The 26,890-nt window shown below is 39.3% G+C and overlaps 1 protein-coding gene across 5 annotated transcripts in view, besides 3 other annotated features; it reads right to left on the bottom strand.

Annotated features, from left to right (window-relative positions):
- Positions 1-26,890, bottom strand: part of PLCL2 (phospholipase C like 2) — a 205,652-nt gene that overhangs the window by 58,445 nt on the left and 120,317 nt on the right. For all 5 annotated transcript variants that reach the window (NM_001144382.2, XM_047447799.1, XM_017006025.2 and 2 more), the window contains 2 exons: positions 20,002-22,488; positions 17,251-17,454 (listed from right to left, as the gene is read on the bottom strand). In NM_001144382.2, the coding sequence (NP_001137854.1) occupies positions 17,251-17,454; positions 20,002-22,488 (2,691 nt within the window). The remainder of the gene's footprint in view (positions 1-17,250; positions 17,455-20,001; positions 22,489-26,890) is intronic.
- Positions 8,763-8,842: an enhancer, noted in NCBI's record as "active region_19561". NCBI's record gives its function as "activates an Ori minimal core promoter by ATAC-STARR-seq in GM12878 lymphoblastoid cells {active_cell/tissue: GM12878}" and the evidence as "EXISTENCE:reporter gene assay evidence [ECO:0000049][PMID:35858748]".
- Positions 8,913-9,132: an enhancer, noted in NCBI's record as "active region_19560". NCBI's record gives its function as "activates an Ori minimal core promoter by ATAC-STARR-seq in GM12878 lymphoblastoid cells {active_cell/tissue: GM12878}" and the evidence as "EXISTENCE:reporter gene assay evidence [ECO:0000049][PMID:35858748]".
- Positions 18,751-19,045: a silencer, noted in NCBI's record as "tiled region #1410; HepG2 Repressive non-DNase unmatched - State 24:Quies, and K562 Repressive non-DNase unmatched - State 21:Repr". NCBI's record gives its function as "represses a minimal TATA promoter and a strong SV40 promoter by Sharpr-MPRA in HepG2 and K562 cells {active_cell/tissue: HepG2 | K562}" and the evidence as "EXISTENCE:reporter gene assay evidence [ECO:0000049][PMID:27701403]".

Here is a 26,890-nt window from a genome sequence, read left to right as displayed (position 1 = left end):
ATACGTTAAATACTTATCCTACTCTAAATTTTTGGAAAATATTTAAAATTTCTAAACCTCAAATTTTAGTTTTTAACCAAAACTTTAAGTTAAGAAATATAAGTTATTTAATCTTATTTCACGAAATAAACAGAATTTCAAAAAATGGAAGGAGTTTTGAATTTGATCTTGTAGTTTCTGGTCCTGAACAATTTGATATTCATAGGAAAAGCAAAAAAAAAAAAAAAAAAAAGGTGAAAATTGAGCAACAAAACAGAACCTAAACTACCCTGCAAAGGAACTCTGCTGCAATTATAAAACTATCCAGAAAAGCTATATAATAATTTCTGCCAGTTTATGTGGTAATTTATTATGCTATGCTTTTCTATATGAAGAGCATGCACATGCATTTAAATGATAATAATCCTTTTACTTCTCTAGTTTATTATCAACCTTACATGACCAGAAGTCTTGTTAGGGGAGAACTTGGTATGCTATACATCATTTTGTACATGATTACTGTGGGAAACCTTATACAATAGTCTCACATTAAACAATCTACTTTACAGCACATGATAAATTGCTTTGCACCATGGTCACCTCAAGGATGTACACATACACAAACCCCATCCTCTCCCAGCCACTTTTCAGCTTTTCTAAGCTACATTAATGATATGTTTACACGACATCCTTATCCCATCCCAGACAGCATGAAATTTATGTGTGCCTTGTGCTCAAGTATTCTCTGCAGACATGAAAGGAGGAAGGGATGTGGGTAGGTGAAGGGATTTAGCAACTTAGAAGGAACTTTCAACAGGTACTGTGAGCAGCCAGGTGCAGTCCAGTGAGGATGTAGTCCACAGCCACTTTGCTGGCTTACTCTCTAGTAAGTGCCTGGAAAGAGGGCCTATGGCCTCACTGTCTCTCCCTTGGTCTTGGAAACATTAAAGATAGTGAGTTCAGACGCTACATCCTGAATGGAGGGTAGTGTCTCCAAAAAACTGATGAGAATGGTTCAAAACCTGCTCTGAATCATTCCCGTGGGAGGACAGGGGAACTTGAGCTGGTTAAACCCAATTATTCAGTGAGCAAGCTACTTCTGAAGAGTACATTAGGAACTTCTGGATGCTACGTTAACTCTTTCAAGTCACTAAGGACCCTTTAGTTCTGACATGCTCATTTAAAACTATTACTAAATTAATTAAATTTAAAAGGATACAATTTGAATTAAACATAGTACCACTTTTATTACTGCCTATTTACATCAAGTCTTTTCTCCAAGGGGATGAAGGTGATTTAGAAACTCCTAATTAACAGAAGGTAATTTAATCATAGTCTTACTGTAAAGTATCATTAGTTTCTCTCAAGTCTGTGATAACTAAGTATAGACGTTCGTTGAAAGAGGAAAGCAATTGAAGACTTCTCTGTAATGAAAAGCAATACTTTTTTTAAACACAGCAGAGTGTCCACAGTTCTCCAGGAATAACAGAGCTGGAAGAATGCATCTGAGCAGCTACTAGAGTATTTACTGTATAAACCCAGGTGTGGCGTTCTTCCTGATGTTGACCACATAACTCACATGTTCTGGTATCTTCCCCTTTCAGAGCAGAGAGACAACTTGCTTAGCAAGATGATGGGAGAACTTACCTTTTGCTTTTCATTTTGAACTTTAAACCTGACTTTATGAAATGGAGTAATCATGCTCTGTATAAATAACAAAGTGGGGCATGACAAATGCTGCTCTGGAATATGGAGTGATGTTAAAATAAACTCACACAAAGGTCTTCAAGCTTCAGGAGCTATATGCAACCAGCCTTTGAAAACTAATAATGACAATCATAATGACAATGATTTATTGAGTATTTATTATGTTCTAGGCTATTTACAGGTACATAGTCTTATAATCCTTTGAGGTTGTGATCTAATGCCCATTGTAGAGTTTAAAAAATAGGTTTGGGCTGGGCACAGTGGCTCACACCTGTAATCCCAGCACTTTAGGAGGTTGAGGTTGGAGGATCGCTTAAGGCCAGGAGTTCAAGACCAGCCTGGGTAACATAGCGAGACCCCATTTCTTAAAAAAATGAGAGAAACAGCCTTGCCCCCAGTCACACAAGCAAGCACTAGTGCAGGAGCTAGCTCATTAGCAGGGGCTCATCTGCTTCCTAGGGTGCAGTCTTGTGCATAGGTGTTCACACTCCATGCATACATACCTGGGTGGTCTGTGAATATACCACTGTTCTTATTAAGATGTGTCCTTTGCAAAACATGCCAGGGAATATCTTCTGTTGCCCTGGGAGCCAGCTCATGGTGGCAGGTGAGATAAGGATGAAGACAAGGATTTCCCAAGGTGGAGCTAGAGCTGGTGGATGCTGTGTGTGGTTGAGGGGAAGGGGAGCCAAGGCTTTCTTCCCTGGGAGATGTGTTTTGGCTCACTCACCAGGGTCAGTAGGTGTTGGAGAGTGGGGGCCTGTAGCAGTTGGGGGAAAGTGGCTCTCTGGCTTTCAAGAATTTCTCTGCTCAGCTCAAACGGACCCTATCCCTACCCAAGGCTTCCCTTTTCTGGTGTGACCCCAGTCCATGTGCTAACATCATTGTACACCACAGCCTCTGACTATTAGCTCATGTAACAATTGATTTATGAGCATGCTTGGGAAAAAAATCATAAAACACTGTACACATATGAGGGATGTTCCCACCTCAGGCAGCTTAACTGAACCAGGTTTCTCTCCTATCATAGCCAGGTGAATAACTAGGGGCCCTCACATTTTCCTCCTCCTCTCTTCTGCACTAAGCTCTTCTATACAGTTGTTTTTTTTTTTCTTTCTTTCTTTCTTTTTTTTAAGGGCATACGAATCTTTAAGGAGGGAATTGCAGATAGGATAAAGGATCCTCTGATAAAAGCTGGGGAGACATCTAGGGTCTGAACAAGAGGTGAAAGATCCAGGAGCTGGGATGCTGAGATCTTCCTTCTCAGGACCAGTCTCTCCTGCCTCTGGTCCCTCTCTCCCTACAAGCATCTGGAGTTGTCCAAGCACCTCAGGCATCCTCCTCTTCTTGGACCAGCAAAGCCAGCCCTCACTGCCTTAGAACATAAGTGCTTCCATACAGACCTAAGACTGGAAGAGCAGCCACTCTACCCTCTGCGCCCCCTTCCCCGAGGCATTTTGTGTGCATGGAAATAAAAATCAAGTTCGGGGAATACAGGGACATATGGGAAAGACATGTAGGGTAAGAAGGGCACCTGATATCTGTGTCCTGGAGATCAAGGTTATTTTCATTCATTCACCAAAAATGGATTTTGAGTACCTGCTGTGTGCCAGGTTCTGCTGTCGGTGCTGAGAACGCAATGTTGCATAGGACACATGGGCCCTGTTATCCTGGAGCTCAGATTTCAGGGAGAGGAAGAGAGGTACTTTTAAAAAAGGAATTCCCAGCACTTTGGGAGGCTGAGGTGAGTGGATTGTTTGAGCTCAGAAGTTCAAGACCAGCCTGAGCAACATGGCAAAACCCCACCTCTGCAAAAAAACAAAACAACAAAATGAGCCGGGCATGCTGGTGCGTGCCTGTAGTCCCAACTACTCAGGAGGCTGAGGCAGGAGAATTGTTTGAGCCCAGGAGGCAGAGGCTGCAGTGAGTCAACAGTTCGTCACTGCAATCCAGCCTGGGTGACAGGAGTGAAACCCTGTCTCAAAAAAAAAAAGAAAAAAAAAAGGATCAAGCTAATGAATGTATAATTATAAGTTGTGACGAGTATAAGAAGGAGGTGAATAGCATAAACAACAGTAAGGTGTGGGAATCCAGAGGCTTCAGAGCATCTTTCCCATTCCTCAGGTGGGAGAGGGTTTCATGGGATTAGTCTCCACCTCAAGCACTTTTATAATCCCTTCCTTTAAACTGAGTGTGGTTAGCACAGCCTGGATTTTACAGTTTGAGAGAAAGTCCTCCTCCTCGCCTTAGGAAAGGGTGAGAGGAAATGAGGGGTTTTCAGAGACGATGCAGAGCTGCTCACTAACTCTACCCAATTCCCTTCTCTCCACCCAGCCCTTCAGCCCCTCAGCAAGAAATGCTTGATTTGGCTGAGAGAAGGAGTACTATTTAAACTCAATTCTTGGACTGGCTCATTTTTAATGCCTCATTACCAAGCAGCACAACCATGGTTATACATAAACACTAAATATATGTGAGGTTAAATTAGTTACAAATGTTATTGAGTTATAGCACACAGCTCAGGTGGATTGTCACCACTTCCCACTGACGTAGCATGCTTGCCTCACGGGCGCTATTAAAATCAGAGCAAACGTTAATTTCCACTGGCTTTTTCCTCTTTTAGTTTCCACCTCTTGTTTCTTTAGGTTTCTGACCGTAACAATTAGTAGAACCATATTCAGGCTCATTGCTTTTTCCAGCAGAGGAGTGCTCAGGCAACGATAACAGTCTCCTCCTTCCTCCAGGTTAACGATTAGAATCCCATTCTTATGTATCAAAACTCAAAATGCAGTGAGTACATTTTAAAGGAAAGGAAGGAAGAAAAGAAAGAAAGGAAAAAGAGAAAAGAAAGAAAGAGAAAGTCATAATTTAGGTTGGCAAAGGTGACTTTGAAAATCACTGTATCAAAATACCCTAAGGACTTTTACCCAATCCACTTTTGGAAGTGTTGGCAAATTTGTTCTGTACAGAGCCAGACAGTAAACATTGTAGGCTGCTAGGCTTAGGCTTAGTTTCTGTCGCAACTACCCTACTCAACTTTGCCACTGTAGTGAGAAAGCAGTCATTGATAGTATTTAATGGAGGTGGTTGTTCTCCAAAAACACTTCATTTATGGAGAGCAAAATTTGAAGTTCATATGACTTTCATATCACAAGATATTATTTTTTATTTTTCCAATAAATTAAAAATGTAAAAACCATTCTCAGCTTTCAGACTATACAGAAACATGTGTTTCTCAGCTCCTCCTCTAAAATGTTACATGATGCATCACTTGGTAAAACTGGACTCAAAGTACTTGAGATAATATAGTTTGATATGCGACATGCACTTTTTAGGAAAGAACATGAAAAATCAAGTGTAGTTGGTATTTTAAAAGAATAAACACATATTACGATATATGTTGGACAAAAAATTTTGGCTATGGAGAATTCTAACGTTTAACAATAAAGACAGGGCTTAGTTTTAGGAAAACAGCTTAAAATTCGTACCATCCCAGTTATATTTAGCTAAATAATGAAATAGCTGTTTCTATTCACAAAGATAGAATTTATTTTGTTTTGTTTTTTTTTCTAATACAAGATAAACGATCTATTTATTTATTTATTTTTTGAGACAGGGTCTCAGTCTGTCACCCAGACTGGAGTGTAGTGGTGTGATCTCAGCTCACTGCAACCTCTGCCTCCTGGGTTCAAGTGATCCTCCCACCTCAGCCTCCTGAGCAGCTGGGACTAAAGGCATGCACCATCATGCCTGGCTAATTTGTGAATTTTAGTAGAGATGGGGTTTCACCATGTCGGCCAGGCTGGTCTCAAACTCCTAGATTAAGTCTGCCTCGGCCTCCCAAAGTGCTGGGATTACAGCATGAGTAATCTGTCCCAGATAAGTGATTTAAAAGCTAAAGTTATTTCATGCCGCAGAATTACATAAATGATGGTATGGCCCCATCTGATGTCTGTCCAGTGTCAGAATATAACTACAAAGAAAACTAGAATGATCAACATTGATTTCAAAGAAAATATCTGAATTAAATATTTCTGTAGGTAGATGAATAATCTCACATAAAATCTCCATATAAAAATCCCTAACATTTAGCCCTAAACATCTGACTAATACTAATGTGGTAGGGAAACAAATGTTTTAAACTCCTTAACATGTTAGTTTTCAGCTAATTGGTAATTAAGCTTGTAGAGTTAAACTTGACTCTTAACACATCATGTTGTCTACCCACTGTGTGAGAGTAATTTTCTTATGGCTCAGAATTTTAAATGCCCTAATTAAGTTAGAAAAGGCTTAAAACCATTATTAAATGCTATTTTTATTCCTGATAAATTCGTCTGGTAGTAAAATCAGCTTACTGGTATTAAAAGTGGTTATTTTGGTGGGGTGAGTGGCATTAATTATTTCACAGCAATCTGGGGGAATAGAAGTGAAGAGAATGAAAAACAGGAGCTGTTAAATAAACTAACGAGTGACAGTTCCCACAGTCCCCACTGACAGAGCAGTTACTGTGCAGAAGGGACTCACCCTCCAGACACGTGCGCTGCTCTGAGAGGTTTGGTGAGGGTGACGGTGAGTCTTCCCACTCATGTGAAAATGAGAGGCAATGCTGAATTGTATCTCTTATGAACATGAGGTCAAATGTAACGTAACAACAAAATATGAGCTTCAAAGCTTATGAAATGTCAAACTTTATTTATAGAAATACATCAGCTGTGGAGAAAAATCATTACCTCATTATTCAGAAGGTTGTGAAGAAACACCTTAGAATTTTTTTCCAGCTCATGACCAGGGACATAACAGACAGAAAAAAGGGTCAGAAATTAGCACACCTTACTGCCAGAAGGTGGCCCAAGTAGGTGTCAACAATCACATTTACAAAACAATTCTGAAATATCTGATTTCTCATATAAACTGGTTATTTCAATAGCTTCATTTTATAAAGTATATTCCATCCAAATTATTCCATTTTTTCTTATAAAATGTGATTGTACATCCCAAAAGCTCATGTCCACAAATATAGAGCAGCTCATCATGGCACTTACAAACAAACCCATGTCTCACCACTAACAATTTGATTGAAGTGACTGATATAACTTCAGTCTTCCCAACTCAACTCCACTGGACATGTAACACTGACAAATTTCTCCATAAAAAAGTATATACCTCTCTAAACTACATAAGAATGGGTGGCAATAGATTGAATTAATTCCTGAAGAATGGATCTTGCATTTATAGAGCCAAGGAAGGATATCAAGAACATAAGGATTCTAAACAATAAAATTATATTATCACTGCAACTTTACACACTTTCTAAACTCTAACCTGAATATGTTCCATCTTCATTCACAGGTGCAGTGAACAACCACGACAGGCTTCACATCATCCTACCTGGTCAGAAGTTGCCACCATTAGGACAACTAATTAAATTCAACAGTAAAGGTGTATATCCCGTGCCCTCCAATAGGGTGTGGCTCAAGGAGTACTTGGGGTTTCAAACGGGGCCCACACTCATGAAGCGCCCAGGTTTCTATCACTAGTCTCCATAAACATATGGATGAAGATGAACACATCTGTTTTTCTTTCAAAGTAGCCAGCACAAGCTGGCACAGCCGCCTCTGTGCCCACAGCACAGATTGAAGGATCAAGGAGCAACATGGGTCTCCTCTGGGTCCCAAGTAATAGGGAGCAGGAGGCTCCCAGCTCAAAGGGAGAAGGAGGCTGAATGCATTAATGAGCTATGAGTCACATGTTCTAGGTCAGCTAGTCTTCATTTTCGTCAATCTGAAAAGATTTGGAACTCACAAACTGCATAAAGACATACAAATTACCACACATGGAAAGCCAATTAAGCTCTTTGTTTCTTTGATCATTGCTTTTCTGTTTGAATTTCCACAAAGAGGACAATCACAATCCACAAAACTGAATGTAGAGACAATACTATTCTGTGCATACTACAAAAATAATTACACAATTTAAGATACTGCACAGATCCTAGATGCTATAAAAACTTTTTTTAAAAAGGGCTTTATACTATTGCCAGTAGTGTTTGATGCACGTTTCAACAGTAAATAAAAAATCTTGATGCTGGAAAGATTCAATTGCTAGAAGAAAATAGACATGAAGTGTATGTTCTTAAAGATATTCCTCTCACACTTCACCCTCCTTTTTCTCTCTCTTGGCAATTATTAGGCTTAACTCAAATTCTTCATCAATCTCAACACACCAAAGGGATGCCACTTTTCCAGGATGCTCTACGAAAAAATGTTATTCACCTAACAAAAATAGTCAAGGTAACAGAGCAATTTGGCTCCACTGTTCTTGATGATCACAATATAATCCTTCCAGCTGGCTTAGTTCTTAAAGTTATCACATCATACTTCTAACTCTACCTCTTGGACCCTCCCAGAAATACCTAGGCCTTTCTCTGGGAGATATTTCAGGAAGAATGTCTTTAAGGCAAACCAGAGGATGAACTGCAGCAGAGAGGGAAAGGCTGCAGGCTGGGTGGCTTCAACAGTCTCACAAGTGTGATGGGGATGGTGTCAATAAGTTATTTCTTTTCACAGATGCTGCCATAGTTAATGAATCATGTTTTCCCTGGAGCTTTCCACCTATTCAAAGGACAAGTTTCAGAGCTTGGATGAGGAGCAACTATCTTATGAACACAGAGACATTTGTCAGTTTTAAAGGTCAAATTAGATTTTTGCTCAGGTTCCCACCAAAATGATAGACTTGAAAATCAGGATTTATCAAACTATGTTCTAAATTATTTCAACATATCGAGTGTATTAGTCTGTTTTCATGCTGCTGATAAAGACATACCCGAGACTGGGAATAAAAGGAGGATTAATATGACTTACAGTTCCACATGGCTGGGGAGGTCTCACAATCATGGCAGAAGGTGAAAGGCATTTCTTACATGGTGGTGGCAAGAGAGAATAAGAAAGAAGCAAAGTGGAAATCCCTGATAAACCCATCAGGTTTCATGAGACTTATTCACTATCACAAGAATAGCACAGGAAAGACTGGCCCCCATGATTCAACTACCTCCCCCTGGGTCCCTCCCACAACACGGGGGAATTCTGGGAGATACAATTCAAGTTGAGATTTGGGTGGGGACACAGCCAAACCATATCATGGGGAAACAACCCGTAGATCACAGAGTGTTATCCCCTAAGGTGGAGGAGACTTCCTTCCAAATACAAAGGTTGAGCCAAGGGAATTGCAGCTCTGAGGCAGGAGGAAAGGAGCTGGCTCTTGCAGCTTTCTTGACGAGAGAACAGAGAGGAGGAAATAACGCCTCTTGCAGTATTGAGTGACTCATGTTGGAGCTGGGAAATCCCCCCACTATGTACCCACCTCGAGGTGAATAGAAAGTGGAGGAGAGGATGGTGGCTTTAGATGTTTAGACATTCTTTGCCAAGAACACAAAAAGAAGGGTTTGCAACCACACCCTCTCCAAGCAACCACTGGCCACTTTGTGAAGGAAGAGGGGGAAAGAGAGAAAGTCAGAGAGACTGAGCATTTTACCTAAAGAGCTTAGCATTTACAGTCCAAAACGAATAACGTAATGAATGCAATAGATGAAGTTTACCAACAGAATTAAAATCCAGGGACATCTACCTCCCTCATAAGAGAGGTAAGAAAGTTACATTTTCTTTTTCACCTGGGATGAGTATGAAGCTTGAACTCAAACTCTGCCATACAGCATAAGGTGATTAAAGGCTCAACTAGAATTAGGGCCACAGAAATGAGAAGTCAGCCAGCATTGCCTCCTCCACTCAATTAAAGTTTATTTATTCAAAGTCTAGTAATGACAAAAAGTTTACTGAATAAATGGGGATAAGGAAGCTAAGTGCTTCCTCGCAGCTTTGGAAACTGCCAGTTGACCAAAAGAACTGTGTATATTATCTCCAGAGCACTAACAGAATTTTAAAGATACATAAAATCCTTTTCTTTCTTTCTTTCTTTTTTTTAAATTTCCTGTAAGGGTCCTTGACAGAGAGAAGAACTTAGCAAAGAACTTAGGAGGCACCTTCAGCCACTGCAGAAACACAGAGAAACTATCGAAAAAGTATCAAAAATAAGCCTTGAAGAAATTATACAGGAGCAAAATCCAATATTCGATGTGGAATTTGATGGGAACATAGGAAGTAACTCCTCTACTTTTGCATAGGAAGAAAAAAGACTACAGTACTTCGAATATCTTAGTTTTATAAAAAATGTAGTAGTATTCTTTTGCGTAAAGCATAGGTTTACAAAGAAGTTCCCTAACTTTTCTTGAGCTTTGGGTTTCAGATATATTCATATTTTCTACCAGATTCAGGGAACTAAAGTGTTTGAAAAATTAGCAATCTGCCTTTGCCCCTTTAAAAAACAATAAAAATGCTCTAAACAGAAAAGTAAAACCATGGAGACCCTATCAAATACATGGCCCTAAACCACTGCCCCCTAACAGTTCTCTAGGTGGTGATGGCTCAAATGAAATCTACCCAGGAACTGAAGTGATGCTAACAGCCGGGTCCCATTTCTCATTCACCAATAGGGCTGGATGGCACCCCAGCTCTTGTTTCCTTGCTTACTTTGCAATTTTAAATCAGACTGTTAGTATGTCAGATGACATAGTAGCTTGCTTAATAGCATTTATCATTTCTTGTCTGAGGACATCATCTGACAACATGTTGAAATCTATTAAAGTCATCCTCCCAGAGAGTTTAGAGATGGATATCCAACTTAATGGATAAAAGCTGCTCTGTGATGCTATGTGATTAAGTCTCTTTCAAGCAGACTGCCATCCCCTAAAGTGCTACTCTTTCCTCAACTGTTCCTTGCTTAGTATCTGGGGTGTGTGTGTGTGTGTGTGTGTGTGTGTGTGTGTGTAAGAATACTTTAAGAATATGTGTTCCTCAGTGGTTTCTGTGGAGACATGTTAAGCTAGAAAACTGGATCAGAAGGAAAATCTTACAATTACCACCACTTACATGCTTGAAGCACAATCTCCCAAAGGTTTCTCAATCTCCCAGCTCCCGATCACTGTGTGGTGGCCTGGTACTTCTCATCTGATAATACATGTGATGTTACCAGCACACTGTATCGTTTAAACATTTATTTTCACTTCCACTGGCTTGGTAACTTGAACCATTACAAAATGGCTCATCAATGGTTTTGATGATTTCAGAGAAACTGATTTTGGAAACATTGGCTGGACCTCTCCAGTCATCAGATTAAACAACAGCCTTTGGGTTTCAAATCATCACTCTGTAGGATGCATCTACCTTTCCCAAAACTCCCTTCCACCCTCCCTTCCTTCTTTCATTCATTTTTAGCTTATTCTTATCCCAAAGCACAATATTCCATCTGGTCTTTTTTCTACAGTTATAAAAGTTGGTAGTGTCGACAACTCTAATTAAAAGAAGCTTTTAATGACTGAGGCAGGAGAGTGATAAAAGAAGCCACAAAGGAGATGGGGATCAATAGTAACCTTATTACAGATCATCTCTGGCTTGGTCCAAACCAGCAGACTCCATTAATTATGAAGTGTGATTTATCTCTTCACTGAATTAAGAAGTAACAAGAAAAAGTATATGACACCATACCAACAACTTAACCCAGAATGTTCATGATGCTGCATGTCAACTGCCAACATTTCTGTGTAAGGAAAAAAACCTTCATTTCACATATTTTATTTAAATAACCTTGTTTTATTTAAGAAATATTTAAAGTCATGTGTTAGAAGAGACTACTCAGCAACTTAAATAAAAACACTCAGAGAGAGCAAATAATATCCTCCCAGACAAAGCATCTTGTTCTTCCCTTTAAAAAGTACTATTTTCTACTGGGGAAATGGATTCCTCAGAGTATGCTTTCTTAATTAAACCTGAAGGCAATTAAAATCAAGACTTTTGTGAAGTTGCAAAAAAAAATGACTGAAAAAATTAATTTCAAAGGGAAAGTACAGAGAATGGAACTGCAATGACAAGAATGAATTCACGTATAATCTCTGAACAGGTGGGGCTGCCCATTTGCTGTGTATGTGAACCACCGTACTGCCTGTAAGAGAGAGATGGGCTTCATTTTCTTTATTTTTTTCCTCTTCTCTCCTTTTTCCTCTCTACAACTTCAATTTAATTACAATGACTAAAGCATAGTCCATGACAGAAAAACTGCAGCAAAATTAACAAAAAACTTTAGAAAAGAACTTACTTTTTATGTAATACGTCACAAAATATTTAAATTTTCAATGTTTTCTCTCTATAGAGGAAGAATGTTGACTCCTTGGTCTCTATATGTTAGTACAGGTCTCATAACAATTTTAAACATTCAAGTTTAAAACAGGTGGTAAATCTGCATCTAATAAAGATAGCTAGAGAATGGAATTATCACTCTCAACATAAAAAGAATAGTAAAAGTCACTTCAGTTTAAAAAGATGATGAATTAGATCACTTACATTGATGGGGGAGAGGAGATGCACCGAAATGCCAGTGCAAATCCATTCTTAAAAACACTGTGTACTATGAAGAGTATCCAGATATTCCCTAGAATCTCTTAAACTCAGGTTACATATTCCTTATTTTCTCTTACCAGCCCTTAATTACATGAGCGAACAAGCTCAATCTTGATCTTGATTGTCAATAGTGGGTGTATTCAAGCTCATTTATATATATTTTAAGTAAAATAAACTTTTGTTTTCTGAAATTATAAACAATGTGTTCAGACATTTATGATTGCATTTCTTTGAGTGGGATTTGATCTACTGATTACAGTTTTCTTTATTTTAAGTGCATTAAATCTGCCTTTTAATATATGTGAAAATGCAAAATGAAGAATTTTCTATCTTTATGGGGCACAAGAACAAAAAATAAGGTGCCTGTGACTTCAAGAGCCCCACATGAATAACTGTATATTATTATTATTACAGTTACTTGGGCTTTATTGCTACATTGATCATTCATCTACACATTCTATACAGTTAATTTTTCTGATCTGGATTGCAGAAAAAAATTGGACAGAGATACCACTTGGGTGCCAACCCCGGTTCTGCCATTAATTTGTTGTGCTACAGGGTTTCCATTTTCTCACGTGCAAAATAAAGGTGCTCAATAGGTGGTCTCTGAGTTCTATTTCACTCCAAGCCTCCCAGAGTCCATAATGCCTAATTCTGAGCATAGCCCTTTGCTCAAAAATGTGCAAGGACTCCCTACTATTTGTTACAGTCCAAGCCTGGATTTCCCAGAATATGTGCTTGAGCATATTTCACCTGTGAGCATGTTTCACCCTACGAACTCATCTTGCAATAGCCTCCTCTTTACCAGTTGAATTCCAACTCATTCTTACAGGTCTAGTTCAAGGCCGATGTTTCACTGAAGTCTTCCTAATCTCTGAACCTGAAACTAACCATTCTCTCCTTTGAAGATTCAAATAATTCATTTATATATTTTAAAATATCTATTTACTATCTATTGTCTATCATCTTATCAGTTATCTATAAACATACTGCAGCATCTCTTCAACTAAATTATAAGCTCCTCAAAGGAAAAAAAAAGTCTTTTTCATCTTTATATTACCTCATGTTGCCTACAATAGTCACTGGTACACAGTAGGCACTCAATAAATACTTGCTGTTGATGAGTGAGCAGTGCACGTGCTAAGAGCTTATAAATGGGTGTTGAATTCATCACCAAAAATACAGTAACTTATTTTGTATCTGTTTTATTGAAATAAACCAATTAAATTTCTATTATATGCCACTTCAAAACAACCAAACGTGACATCTTTAAAGCAAATCAATTATTTGGTTCAAAAGTTTGACCCTCTGACTTTATGGTCATGATGTATGATATAATCATGTATGCTGTCCAATGCAATAAATAAGGGGTTGTGGGCAAAAGCCCAACCACATGGCTTAATAATGGAGCCCAGGCCCCATCTGTTGAAAAAAAGTAGATAGGTATGAAAAAAGGGACTCAAGGGTCACTTCCATTAAGAGAGGCAGAGAGGACAAGCTGACTGGAGGAAGATGAGCCCTCACAGGTTGAGCCCCAAAATCATGGGATGAAGTACTTAAGGACACTGAGCTTAAGGGGACAAAGACGCCTCATTTAAATGCCCTGTAAGCCTCCATTTGCATGAGGCCCCCTTCCAGCCCTGCTACAATTTCCCTACCTAGGGTTGCTATGTGCAGCTTTTGTGCTCTAGGTTCTAGCAGGAGAGGACTCTAGGGCCCTTGCTCACCATTGGGAGGAAGAAGGGTCATCTGTGTGCCCCAGGCCTCCAGGCACAAGTTCAGCAGGTGCCTTCTATCCCACACTCATGTCTCTGACTCCAGCACTGCTAATAGGGTCATTCCCACTTTCCATCCCAGTCCAGTTCCTACTAAAACTCCCTTAATCTGCCTAGTCTAAGGAGGTGTGTGAATTTCTCTTCTTCTCCACTCCTGAATGGCTCTGATACCTGTCTTCTTGAGCTAGGTCCCAGGCTCACCCCACCACAGGAGCCACGAGAGCACCACAAGTCCTGTAAAAGCACAATTCTGGCAGTTTTCAAGGCCTGTTTGTTGGTAGTAATCACGGCAGCCATTAGGACAACGATCTGCATTCTCCGTTTTCACAAAGAAACTAGCACACTTCTGAAATACTATTTTATTAATACAGTCTAGATATTGAAAAGTAATCACAATCTTGATAGCATAAATACACATCTGTACATTTTAGGAGGTACCATGGCACTGTCCTCACAGGAAGACACACTTTAGGCATGTAGACTGGCCATGACACAGGAGTTCTGGAGGAGTTTCTCAACTTGCCTTTACTTCTCATTCGCCTCCATACATTATACATGGGAAGTCAACAGAATGAAATAAGATCTTATTTCTAAGGTTAATTTTGGGGCAAGCTCAACATAACATTACAAAAATAAAGAGCTATATTTAGAGTTACGGGCTGTCCGAGACCTTTAGTACATTTCCCATCAATATTTAATCTATTCTGGCTAGCTTTAATAAATTGTCACAAGGTAAGAAACCATTAAGTCACTAAAAAGAACTGCAAAATATTACAAGAGTTATAATATTGCTGCAGCCATAATTTAAATTTAATTTTAAATATTTTATTAGCTTATTTTATCAGATGGAATTAACAGAACATATCGATAAATTAGGCAGTATAAGGCTGCACAGCTATTTCAATTATACATTATAAAAGAGTAATTTTATAATTTAAAAATTTTAAGCAAGCTAGCATATTCTGTCTTGCCAAATCTATAACAACATAATGATACAGTTAGACGCAAATAAGAGTTACATATTAAGAGCTAGCATCTACCAATCCAAGAGGAAGAGGCAGGGAACCAAGGAGCAATGAGCCATTCCTGAGCCGAATATTGCTATGAGTGCCATAAAGGTTGCTGGTGGCCATGAGGATTTTTAACATAGACCATGAGAAACCAGCTATGATCACACACTCTTGATAGAGCAGAAATCAGCCCCTGAACTTGGCCTGCCCTGTTATGCTGTTATCACCTCCACGGGGTACTACCACCCCACCCTCAAGAAGTCCCTGTTAAAAAGCTCGCCATGAAGAAATGTCACTGTATGACTGTCATAGAAATCAAGCAAATGTCTTAGGGGGTAAATCATATTAGATTTTGGTCAATGAAACAGGTATGTGATTTTATTTGTGGCTTATGCTTAAAAAGCGTTTATAAATATCAGATACTTTTTTGGCTTCATCTCATAAAACTTAAGTCAAGAACTATTTAGGCAGTCTGGTTCATAGCATGTAAAAGATCTTCAGACTTTTCCATTTTTACCCCTTCTTCTATTTCCCCACCAAAGGAATCTCAGCATGCTTCCTGTGTTGATGTTGGTCCCCAGCCTCACTTTCTCTCCTGGTGGACTTGATGGCTCCCCGAGGATGGGGCTGTTCATATGAGTCTTTGTGGACCCCTTTGGCACTCAGCACAGTGGCACTCAGCACCTGAGGCTCATCAGACACCTGACCCTGGCCTCCCTCCTCTCTGCAGGAGGGTGCCACTCTATGTAGTTTGCTTGCAGTGTCCAATATTCAGTTCCTGGTGTCTCTTAAGGTTACCATGAATGCTAAGAAGGAAACAGCCCCCACTACAATGTGTGACTACTTCATAGGAATCTACAAAATGCACAAATATCACTTTTTTTAAGGTAATGAACTCATAAGCTGTTTAAAACACTGCATTCTTCTGACTTGTACTTCTAGACTTATTCATCCAAAGACTGAAGAAGGATTTTCCAAAATATATTCTCTAGAATCTTTGTTTTTAGAAATAGTATTCCAATGGTCAAGTCAATTTGTGAAACTGGAAATACTCTATCACTATCTTGGAACTCATGGTGATAGCAAATAAAAGGTTCTAAGAAATCCTGCAGTAAAGATATCTGATTACTTTTGTTCAAACTAGTATTTCCCAAAATTATTTAGTCAAGGAACTTTCCCCCCATGTGATATTTACTAACATCCTATGAAACCCTTCCCCTATGTGATATTTACTAACATCCTAAGAAACCTACGAAGTAGTCACAATTGAGAAGTGCTGGCCCAACGTCTTTTTTCTTTCCCTTGAATTGCATAAATCCCTCTAAATTACAGCTTTCAGACAACTTATGAAACAGTCAAAAATATTTCTGTTTAGGTTTATGATGCCGATCCTGTTTTGTCCTTGAGCACAGCAAGCTACATCAGAAGAAACCTAGAGTTTCGTGGTCTTAGCTTGTGCTTTTGGAGTGGAGGAGGTAGCAGATGAGGTACTCACCCCCAAGTACTCTAAATAGTACTGAAGACAGACTGGCCCATCTGGGAGGGGAGTGTCCAACACCAACCCTTAACCCTGATAGGTTGAAGAGTCAATGACAGCTTCAACTACATCATACACTTGAAATGGGTGTCCTTCACCCAATAAATTCTCTCTTAGAGTTATGATAAATAAAAAAATTACAGTAAGAGCAGGATGTGATTAAGAAAATGCAAGGTAAATCTTAAGTAGAAAAATGTAATATTCTAGGTGTCCTGAGGATACCCCATTAGTGTTAAGCTCATTACAAATACAAGTATCACAGAGCAGCTCCTGTAAGAAGGGAAACCATAGCCTAGTGCAGAGTCATGTGATACAGGCACCTGTCCCTCATGGCATTACATTTTTAAGTTAAATTTCTTGCCTTTACCAGTTGAAAAAATGAAAATAAAATGAAAACAAATAATCAATGACTGGCTGCAGGAGAAGATTTTTAAAAACTCGTTCCTACATCTGTGTGGAAAATAGTGCATCCTTTAAAAATCAATTCAGATATAGCTGAGAAGCTAACTAATGTTTAATCCAACTGAGGTGAGTGTCTCTGAATTCTGCTTTCAAAAACAACAAAACACTAATCTCTTTCAAATACAGCAAGGTCAGGGGAATTACTTCTCCAGCATAGGTGAATGAAGCATGAAATAGGAAAGTGCACTTCAGCAAAAGCTCCAAAGTATGTCTGCTGTGTTGTCTTAGGATATCTCTCTCACCCAGGCTATGTAAACGGACAAAGGACAACTCACCATGTCATAAGTTGTTACGATCTTCTTCAGAACCTCCGGCACAATTCCCTGCAGCTCCATTGTGGGGTACTGCTCGCTGAGATTTAGGACCACTAGGGGTGTGTTATCGGGCCCCAGAAAGCGGGGAGACACCGCCAACATGCACTGCATGAGATTGGCCACAGAGGAGAGGCCACACAGCTCCTTGAATGACACCACCGCATTCTGTTAAATGGAATGAAAGGAGCATTTGTAATTAACTGGGGGTTTTACTTTCTCATGGATATTATATTTGATATATCTGATTATGCTTGAACCACCTGGTACAAAAGTTATTAACAGTGTTATAACAGAATTGGCTAATGATTGTTTTATCCTGGGAAAAATGGCTGTCATCCAAAGTAAATGCTGTTATGGACATTTGTAACACCAATTTATCAAAAGTACTGAAAATGCAAATAAGTCAAATTCTTCTGAAGGGCAAGGCTTCTTTTCAGCCCAAAGTTCATAGTAGTGCTGATGCGGATATGCAACTATGAGCAAACAGAGCGAATAGCTTCTGCATTCAAAGAGGGTAAAGATTTAGGAGAAAAAAAAATCAAATCAGATTTAAAATAAGTATCAAATATGCCAGCCATACAAAAGGGAAAGAAATATTTGCAAGGTAGAAACCTGAATCTCTCATCTATTTATGCCTGCTGGCTCAAAATCTAAAGAACCTTTGAGGATGCTACTGTTCTCTGTTGAGTCTGCCCAGCAGGGACCTTGGTTACCTGTGACCTTCCCCTATTAGTGTCACTGCTGATCCCAATGCCTCTCTCTCTCTTTTTTCTAATCACCAGAGATATGCCATTTAAATACCCATTAAAGAAAAACCTTCAACACTATAAAATGCCATGAGCTGGCCTTCTATGAACACTTACTAAGTGCTAAGCCATACTAGGCATATTTATTACACATTACTTCCATTTAATCCACACAGCAAGCCATGTTATGGATGAGAAGACTGAGCCTTAGCTATAATCCTTCTCTGTTTGTCTAGCGTCACACAGCTAGTAAGTGAAGGAGTCAAGATTTTACCTGAAAGCTGCTGATGTTAAGGCCCATGCTTTGAGTCACCGTGAGTAATAACAGGCCAATTATAATCATAATAAGAGTCAGGTGGGCTATTTCAGGCACACTTGGGTCCTGGTCTAGGCCGGGCATGCGGGCAGAGGGGGTGGACCTAGGCCCTGCAGGCCTGTGCCTTCTGCTCTCAAATAATGCAGGTTCTTGGGAATGAACACTTTAGTTTTAAATTTAAACATTTCATTTTTATTAATATTGCTTTAAATATGGACATCAAACTATAGATCATTGGCTCAAATCACTTTGATATTGACAGTTACAGAAATCAATCATGACTGTGATATTTAAAGTGCAGTTCCCCAGTCACTCTTATTACACCACTTACTCATACCTGCAGTTGTTCTATTTGTTTATCTGCCTGCCTCCTGTCTGTTTCCCCTTCCCACTGCCTGCCCCCAACTAGCATGCAAGCCCCTTAAAGGCAGGCAGTCAATCTGTTTGTTCACCACTGCATCTTCATGGCCTAGATTGCTTGTGCATGGCAGGTGCTCATTCAGTATCACTACCGACTGCTTTGTCAGGTTCAGTGCAGATGAGGCTTTGGAAAAGACAATGCTTGAGCTCTGACAAATCCTCAAAGGAATTCTGTGTCACACACACCACAGCAGCCACTGGGCAGTGGACAATGCGCTTGCTCAGAGCTGAGGGTTTACCAAACCACTTTCACCCTCAAAAACAGGGAAAAGCCCTTCATATGTCTGTTATGCTTTTACTTTAAGAGAAAGAAAACAAATTTCCTTATTGTGGGAAGGTCTTTTATTCACGAAGTACACATAGAATTAGTTGATAGGGAAAAAACGTTGAATTTTCTCAGTCAGATTTTATTTGTTGGCATCATTCTCATTGGTCATTTTAAAATATAATTTTTAAAATACAAAATAAACAGACATGGAGCACTTATCACACACACACCACTTCTCACACACTATGACAGGTTAGGGCTGCTGTCTGCATGAGGCAGGCCCTTGCTGTCTAGCTCTGTGTCACTCAGGGGTCCTAGCGTATGGCTAGATGTGTGGGCGATCCTTAATTAAATATGTAATTCCTAACTGACTGCTTTTAGCCATTATATATTTCAGAGGTAATTATTATCTTAAACTTCTAATAAATACAGACATCTCTTTTACTTACAGAATTAGCTATCCTCTCAAATCAAAAGGAGGCTCACTATGCATACACATATATTTATGGCTCATTTAAAGGTTTCCCATCTCCTCAGCATTACAGCTTCGTAAGAAAGGACTGGATCACATCCATTTTACTTTGACCTATATCCTTTTTATTTTGATAGATCATCAATTTGTGTTCCAGGTAAGGAATATTCAGAAATCCCAGAGATTCCCATGTATACTATTAGAAAAAAACAAGGAACTGTTCAGCAGTCATTAACAGGGACTGGGATGAAGGTGTGTAACACAGCAACGAGACTCACTTATCCCAATATGTAATCAATATTTTCAACATCAACTGTACCTTTAGGAAGTTAAATGATAAAAAACAGACTAGTGGCAAACATTCTAAGAACTAATCAGAATTTAAAAACTACTTAAATATACTATTATTAAAAAACCAATATATTTATAAACTATGGACATGTACAAAGTAGGAAAACCATTGAGTAAATGATTAAACACAAGCACGCACCTGCATGTTTTCTCTCAGATCTGTGGCATCCCGTATAGGGGGCTGGGCATTCTTGAATACCTCATCCACGGTTTTAATCCACAGTGTTCTCAAAGATGCATATTCCCTGGATTTCTTCCCTTTTCTCACAGAAAGGCCCCTTTTATGAGGCTTTCCTCCTCCTCTTCGGTTAGTAATAGCCACGTGGACAAATAAAGAAGCATGTGCAAGGACCTCTCCAGTTAAGGACTGCAGGGGGACATGGCGGTAGCCCGTCTGTAAACATTCAAAGGGAATTGTGTACTGGCCGATGAATTCATCCCCAATGTAGTCATCATCCAGCACTACAAAGCGCACCATGGCCAGTTCAGGCAGGTTGATTTGAAATTCAAAGCTTTCATCAAAAATGGGAGCGTCTCCATTCTGGTGCACTGTTTTTGTCCTTTGTTCTGCACAATCAGCAGGGATTCCATGGATTTCAACATAGACATAAGGATCTACCACATCACCTTTGGCACCTGATCCTTTGGGCTTGGGAAAGTTCTGCCCACTGATGATTTTAATGTGAAGAAGTTGAGGTGAGACCCCTGGGACAGAGTCTTTTGTATTGGCGCTGAAGAAGGAGACCTCCTCCCTCATGATGGCTGGCCGGAGGACATAGCCACAGTTTCCGTTCTGCCTAAACCAGCCAATATTCAGGTCCATCATCAGTCCTGGTGTCTGAAAGTTCATGGCTACAATTTGGCAACCACATTTCCAAAAATCTTGAGGATTCATGTTACTGGAATCAATTCTCATTGGACTGGGAAAAACCCTAGCAAGAAAACGTTTGTTGTAATTTACAAAGTCCCCTGGATTTTCATTGGCGTACTTGCTGGCAAGCACTTCATTAAAGGAACAGACTTCCCAGTACTTCTGAACCTGAAACGACACCTGAAATTCTTTGAACTGAACTGATTTGCAGATGCTGACCAGTTCAGACAGTTCTTTACAAAGCTGAAATCGCTTCACAGGCACATTATTGGGTTGCTCCATGTTCTCTTTTCCCATCCTCTGAGACATTTCTGCTCCTTCATCTTCGTCAGTAACATCTCCTTCTACCCCAGAGCAATTTGAGGACAGCTTCTTTGCTTTAATTAGTATTTTCCCTTTCAGGACATCTGGGGATGGTAGATAAGATTCCTCAACATTGGGTGATGTTGTATAGAGCTTGTCTCCTAAAAGTTTCTTCATGTGCTGAACCATTACCTTCTGTTGTTTAATGGAACAGTGGTTTTCTAAACACAAGATAAGAGGATACTCTGAAGCAAAGAATGCATACTTGTTAATAATATCAATGACACTGCGGAAAACTATCTGAGAGGTCATGGTGTGGCCTGTGTAAATTACAGGTTCATTGTCCGGCCCATCCCATACATCTAATTCAACACTCCGGCAACCCATTTTAAGAGCTCGAATATATCCTGTGATGTCGGAGGGACCTCGGAACTGATCCTCTATTAAGTATGTATTATGAGATGAGTTTATAAAGTAATGAGACAGAGGTTGCTTCATATCCTGACAGACCTTCTTATGTTCTGGATCGAATATATAACAGTCAGGTGACATAAGGTAATTAGTGAACCCGTCTATGGAGAGCCAGCCCTTTTCCTGACCCTCTTTGGATGGTTCATATTTGTGAATAATTTCAAGGCTTATTTCCTCATTTATATGTGCCACACCCTGTTCTGCCTCAAGAAACATCATAAGGTCCTTGGTATCAAGGAATTCTTTATTGCTTGAAAACTGAACTAAAAGGAAATAAATTTCAGGTCTAGTACAAAGCTCATGAAAAACCTCAATAAATTCTTCCTTTGTGACCTCGGTACCAGCTTTGTCCTTTGATTTATGCAATTCTTTGAACTTAAGCTCAATTTTGCTCGTTTTTAAACCAGGATTGAGGTTTCTGATACATTGCACAGCATTACACAGAGTTATATGTCCAAGGTTATCTACATCAATTTCACTAAACATTTGTGAAACCCAAGAAGTCCTCATGTTATCTTGGCTACTTTCTAACATATCAAGTGTATGTTTTCCATAAGAAATTAGGTACCGCAGTCCTGTAACCCAGATGTTTGCAACATCTGCGGAGTTGGCAACCAAATCCAGTGACTCATAATTCTCTCCATATATGACGGAAAACGCACAATCTTCAGATATCTGGTCAGAAATGCCATTGCTGCGGAATATGTCTGTGTTTTTTCCTGTTCTCACTTCCTTGATGGATTTAATGTCAATCTTGGCTTTCTCAGAATCCTTCTTAGATGGCTCCCACCTTAGGCTCTGCATGTCAGCATCCAGTAAAAAGTACCTATGATAAATTCTAGAGTTGGAGCGAACCTTTTTGAGTTCTGAACCCTCAACCATTGAATTAATACAATCACTTGCACTGCTGATCTTCTTCTCTGTTGGCATGCTGCTGAATGAGACTGTCTTTTTCCGTTCCCTCTTCTGTTTTGTACCATCCTGAGAGGAAAAAAAGACCGTATATTAGAATAACATAAATATAGGTTTCTATGTTCAAGATTATGAATAGAAATTTAATTTCCTAGAAAAAAATCATACTATTAAGATTTCCTATTCTAGATTCCTGTGATGAATGATACTCATTCATCTCTAAAGCTCAGAATTGGCCTTGCAGTTGACAGCCTAATACCAACAGGTATGAAATCATTATTGAATAATTGCAATTCATATTTATCAAGAAGAACAATTTCAGGCCAGGGACGGAGGTTCACACCTATAAACTCAGCACTTTGGGAGGCTAAGGCAGGAGGATTGCTTGAGGTGAGGAGTTTGAGACCAACCTGGGTAATACAGTGAGATCCCATCTCTACAAAAAAAAATTTTTTTTGGCCGGGCATGGTGGCTCATGCCTGTAATCCCAGCACTTTGGGAGGCCAAGAAGGGGCAGATCACCCAAGGTCAGAAGTTTGAGACCAGCCTGGCCAACGTGCTGAAACCCTGTCTCTACTAAAAATACAAAAATTAGCCGGGCATGGTGGCGGGTGCCTGTAATCCCACCTACTCGGGAGGCTGAGGCAGGAGAATCGTTTGAATCCGTGAGGCAAAGGTTGCAGTGAGCTGAGATTGTGTCACTGCACTCCAGCCTGGGCAACAGAGTGAGAATCCGTCTCAAAAAAAAAAAAAATTAATTAGCCAGATATGGTGGCTCATGCCTGTAGTCCTAGCTATTCAGGGGGCTGAGATGGGAAGATTGCTTGAGCCCAGGAGATTGAGGCTGCAATGAGCTATGATCTTGCCACAGCACTCCAATGTGGACAACAGAACAAGATCCTGTCTCAAAAAATAGAAAGAAAGAAACAATTTTCAGAGCCCAGAGAAAAGTGAAAATGCAGGATTCCCTGATTAAAAATTATTAAGAATTTCAAGGTGACAGAGGAGCTAAGTGAAGCCCAGGGCTCTTCTGAGTCAGTGTGAAGCCTGTGCAACTGTACAGGTCATACACCATGAAACAGGCCCTGTTTCTACGTACGCCTCCTACACCAATACTTCTCAAAGGCTTGTCACCAGACCACCTGCCTCAGAATCATCTGGGTTACCTGGTTACAATGCAGATTGCTAGGCCCATGGAACCAGCTCCCTGGGGCTGGTGCCCAGGAATTTACATCAAGGTAGCACTCCATGTGACGGAGGATGTACACTAAAGTTTAAAAACCATTTCCTGACTACTTGGGCTAAGACGTCTAGACTATTTCTGGAAACTATTTGCACCAAATGATGAGAAACAGCTAAGTAGAAACCAATTAAGTAACTGTTAAATGGGAATTCCAGCAGAAATTCCTCTCTCCAAAGTCTCATACTAGATCAGTCATCAGTATACATCAGATAGACATGTAAGTCTGAGATGAAGGGCTAGATTATAGCTGTTGGAGCTCCTAAAATCGTAGAGTTGGATTTATTAAAACCTATTACTATGCCCCAATGCTCAGAACAATGTCACCTTGTACCTTAATATTAATAGATTATTAAAAGGACTAAGTTTAAAACTTCAGGCAGCACTTATTTCTAAAGAAGTTAGCATCACCAGTAAGGCACTGTTCAACTTTCCTGCTTAAGGTAACATGTTCTCATCTTAAGGGGCTGACATCCACATCTGTGTGTGTATTTAAGTCCTTCCTTGTATGGAGACCTTTATTATTTGAAAAGAGTGCTCAAATTACCTCAAAAGATCTTTCACAATTTTAAACCTAAAAGATGATACTGCCTTTCAGTATGTGTATAAAATCTATGACAAATTTTCAGTATTCATTGTATTTATAAATAAGAAATAGGGATGGGAGTTGGAATTATATCACTTTCATGACAAAGAAAAGAACATTGTTGAATATTATCCAAAGGCAATTCTAATTTTCCTGCTCTGGATAGAAAATATCTGTATTTTAAAAAGCTATTATGCTATACTCTATCTCTGAAATTTAAAACCACTTTTACTTTCTAACTACCTATACTTCCAAAAGCAATTTGCAGAAGGTAATTAAACTTAAACTTTAAATCATATGGGTATCATTTTCCTCAAAGTTTCAAAATGAACCATAGAAGCTTTTGTGATCTGGGTGCCAAGACAAAACATAAAAGCCACAAGGTAGAATATTTCTTTACAATTATATCCTCAGAACAATAAAGTGCAAAATACATAAAAACTGTGGTAATTGTATCTGTAAGATACATTATATTAAAGCCATTTCAAATCCCTAAAGCATAGATTGTATTACATCAATTTGAGTGAGTTAGCATGAAATTAGTTTTGTAATCAGCCATGCATAAGGACATGAAACAAATGTATAATTTTCTATTTTTCAGAATGACGTCTTTAGTTTTTTTTTCCCAGTAGAGACGGGGTTTCACCATGTTAGCCAGGATGGTCTCGATCTCCTGACCTCGTGATCCGTCTGCGTCAGCCTCCCAAAGTGCTAGGATTACAGGTGTGAGCCACCACGCCTGACCGATGTCTTTAGTTTTTAAAAGACGCATTTACCTTTGATAAAGACAACATACTGACTCAGTTAGGGAATTTTATAATCTTTATATATCGTGTCTCAAAGATGACACTAGTAGAACAATTACAAAAATATATGGATGTGGTTTATCCACTGATCCATTAAGAAATATATAGTATTTTCCCAACATTGTAATCTTTTATTCTTTCATTTTTACAGGCTGATTAATATTCTGTTACACTTTCTAATTTGTTATAAATGATACATTTCAGATAAACAGGTTTCTTTTTTATTAAGAGGGAAAAGGCCTAATAGCAAAGTAAGTTAATAACATACACACATGCTCACATACCCATGTATGTGGAACAGGCAGCAGCTTAAACACCACACTGTGGCTTTAAGAACATTGCCATGCTTTTCACAAACCAGCCCAGGCTTTGAATGGAGACTTCTGGTTATCAATTGCAGACACATGAACATGATGACCACCCAACCACGGGCAGATATAATGACATCAAGGACACCCCTTAGCAGAGACTTCCTGTCTCTTCCTCTCCCTCCATCTGCTGTTGCCTAGAACTGTCTCCATAGCACACCAAGGCCTGAATCTGCTTCTCCTTCCTCACTAGCAGATAAAGTGATCAGAAAACACCAATAGAGGAGTATGCTTGTTTAGAGACCAATAAGGAAGAGAACAGATGTGAGCTTGCACTCCTTAATGGGTGGACCAGAATCTCTGGCTGGGAGCAACAAGTGGATGTGAATACAGGAGAAGCTGGCGAAATGGTCTTCCACAGTCAGCAGAAAAGGAAGGGGAGGACAGAAGCACTTGTGTGGGAGGGAAGGAGAACTGGTGTTCAATGGCAGGAGACTGAGCCCCAAATTGCCTAATTCCTGGAATCCTTATCCCACTCTTACTCATTTCAACTTGTCTTTCATTGTTCAGCCTGGCAGTGATCAAATACTTGCCTAAGCTAAGTAGCTGGTCAGAAGCAGAGAGCTGGGATCTATTGTTTATGCTGCCTTGTAATGCAAGTTAGTTTAAACTAAATAATGAAGATTATTCAACCTACATGTGCTATACATATACCTTTTTAACTGGAAGAACATTAAATGCATAATACTCACATGCATTAACCATCTAAAACCAGAGGAAAAAATGCAGGTTTCTGCTGAGACACTTGTGCCTCAAAATACTTTTAAAAAATAGTATAAACTATTTCTCAGAATTGGCTGTTATACTGTGAAGGAGTACTCATCACCCAAAGCTTCTGAGTGGTGAATACAACAGAAGGGAAACTTGGTGCAATTCTGCTACTCTATTAGAACTTAGTAACCTCAAGAGAAAGAATACACAAACAATGTCCGGACTGCAAGAAAACCGGCTTCCAAAGAACCTACCTCCATATCAACCCTGAAATTTTGCATTTCTTGACAATCTTAAAATTTAGAACTAGAAAGAAACAAAGGTTCATTTGTACATTAGCCAACAGAATAACAATTTCATACCGGGAATGATTTTAGATAAAGCAATGAACTAGAAAGAGACTAGGGAAACATTCTGCACCACAGCAAATTCAGGAAAAATAGAAATGTTTATACGACTCATATTTAGCATTAAAAACATAAATAGCCATATTGAGTCCTATGGAAAAACATACATCTTTCTAACATAACTGCCTACTTTATTTAATAGAAGGCTGTCACTAAAAATAGGAGGCCACTAAAATTACCATCTGGGATACTTAGGTAGTGGCAATTTCATAAATGGGCATGGGTAATTTCATAAATTCTCATCCTGAAACGGGATAAGGAATAGGTGAACCTCATTTCATCGGCTGGCAACAAAGTGTCTGGCACTGATTCAATCGATTTAGCTCGCTCTGGAGAAGAGGAACAAGAAACCA

This window comes from Homo sapiens, chromosome 3, assembly GCF_000001405.40.
Source record: "Homo sapiens chromosome 3, GRCh38.p14 Primary Assembly".
Classification (NCBI taxonomy): Eukaryota; Metazoa; Chordata; class Mammalia; order Primates; family Hominidae; genus Homo; species Homo sapiens.
This window is presented reverse-complemented; position numbering and strand designations above follow the sequence as displayed.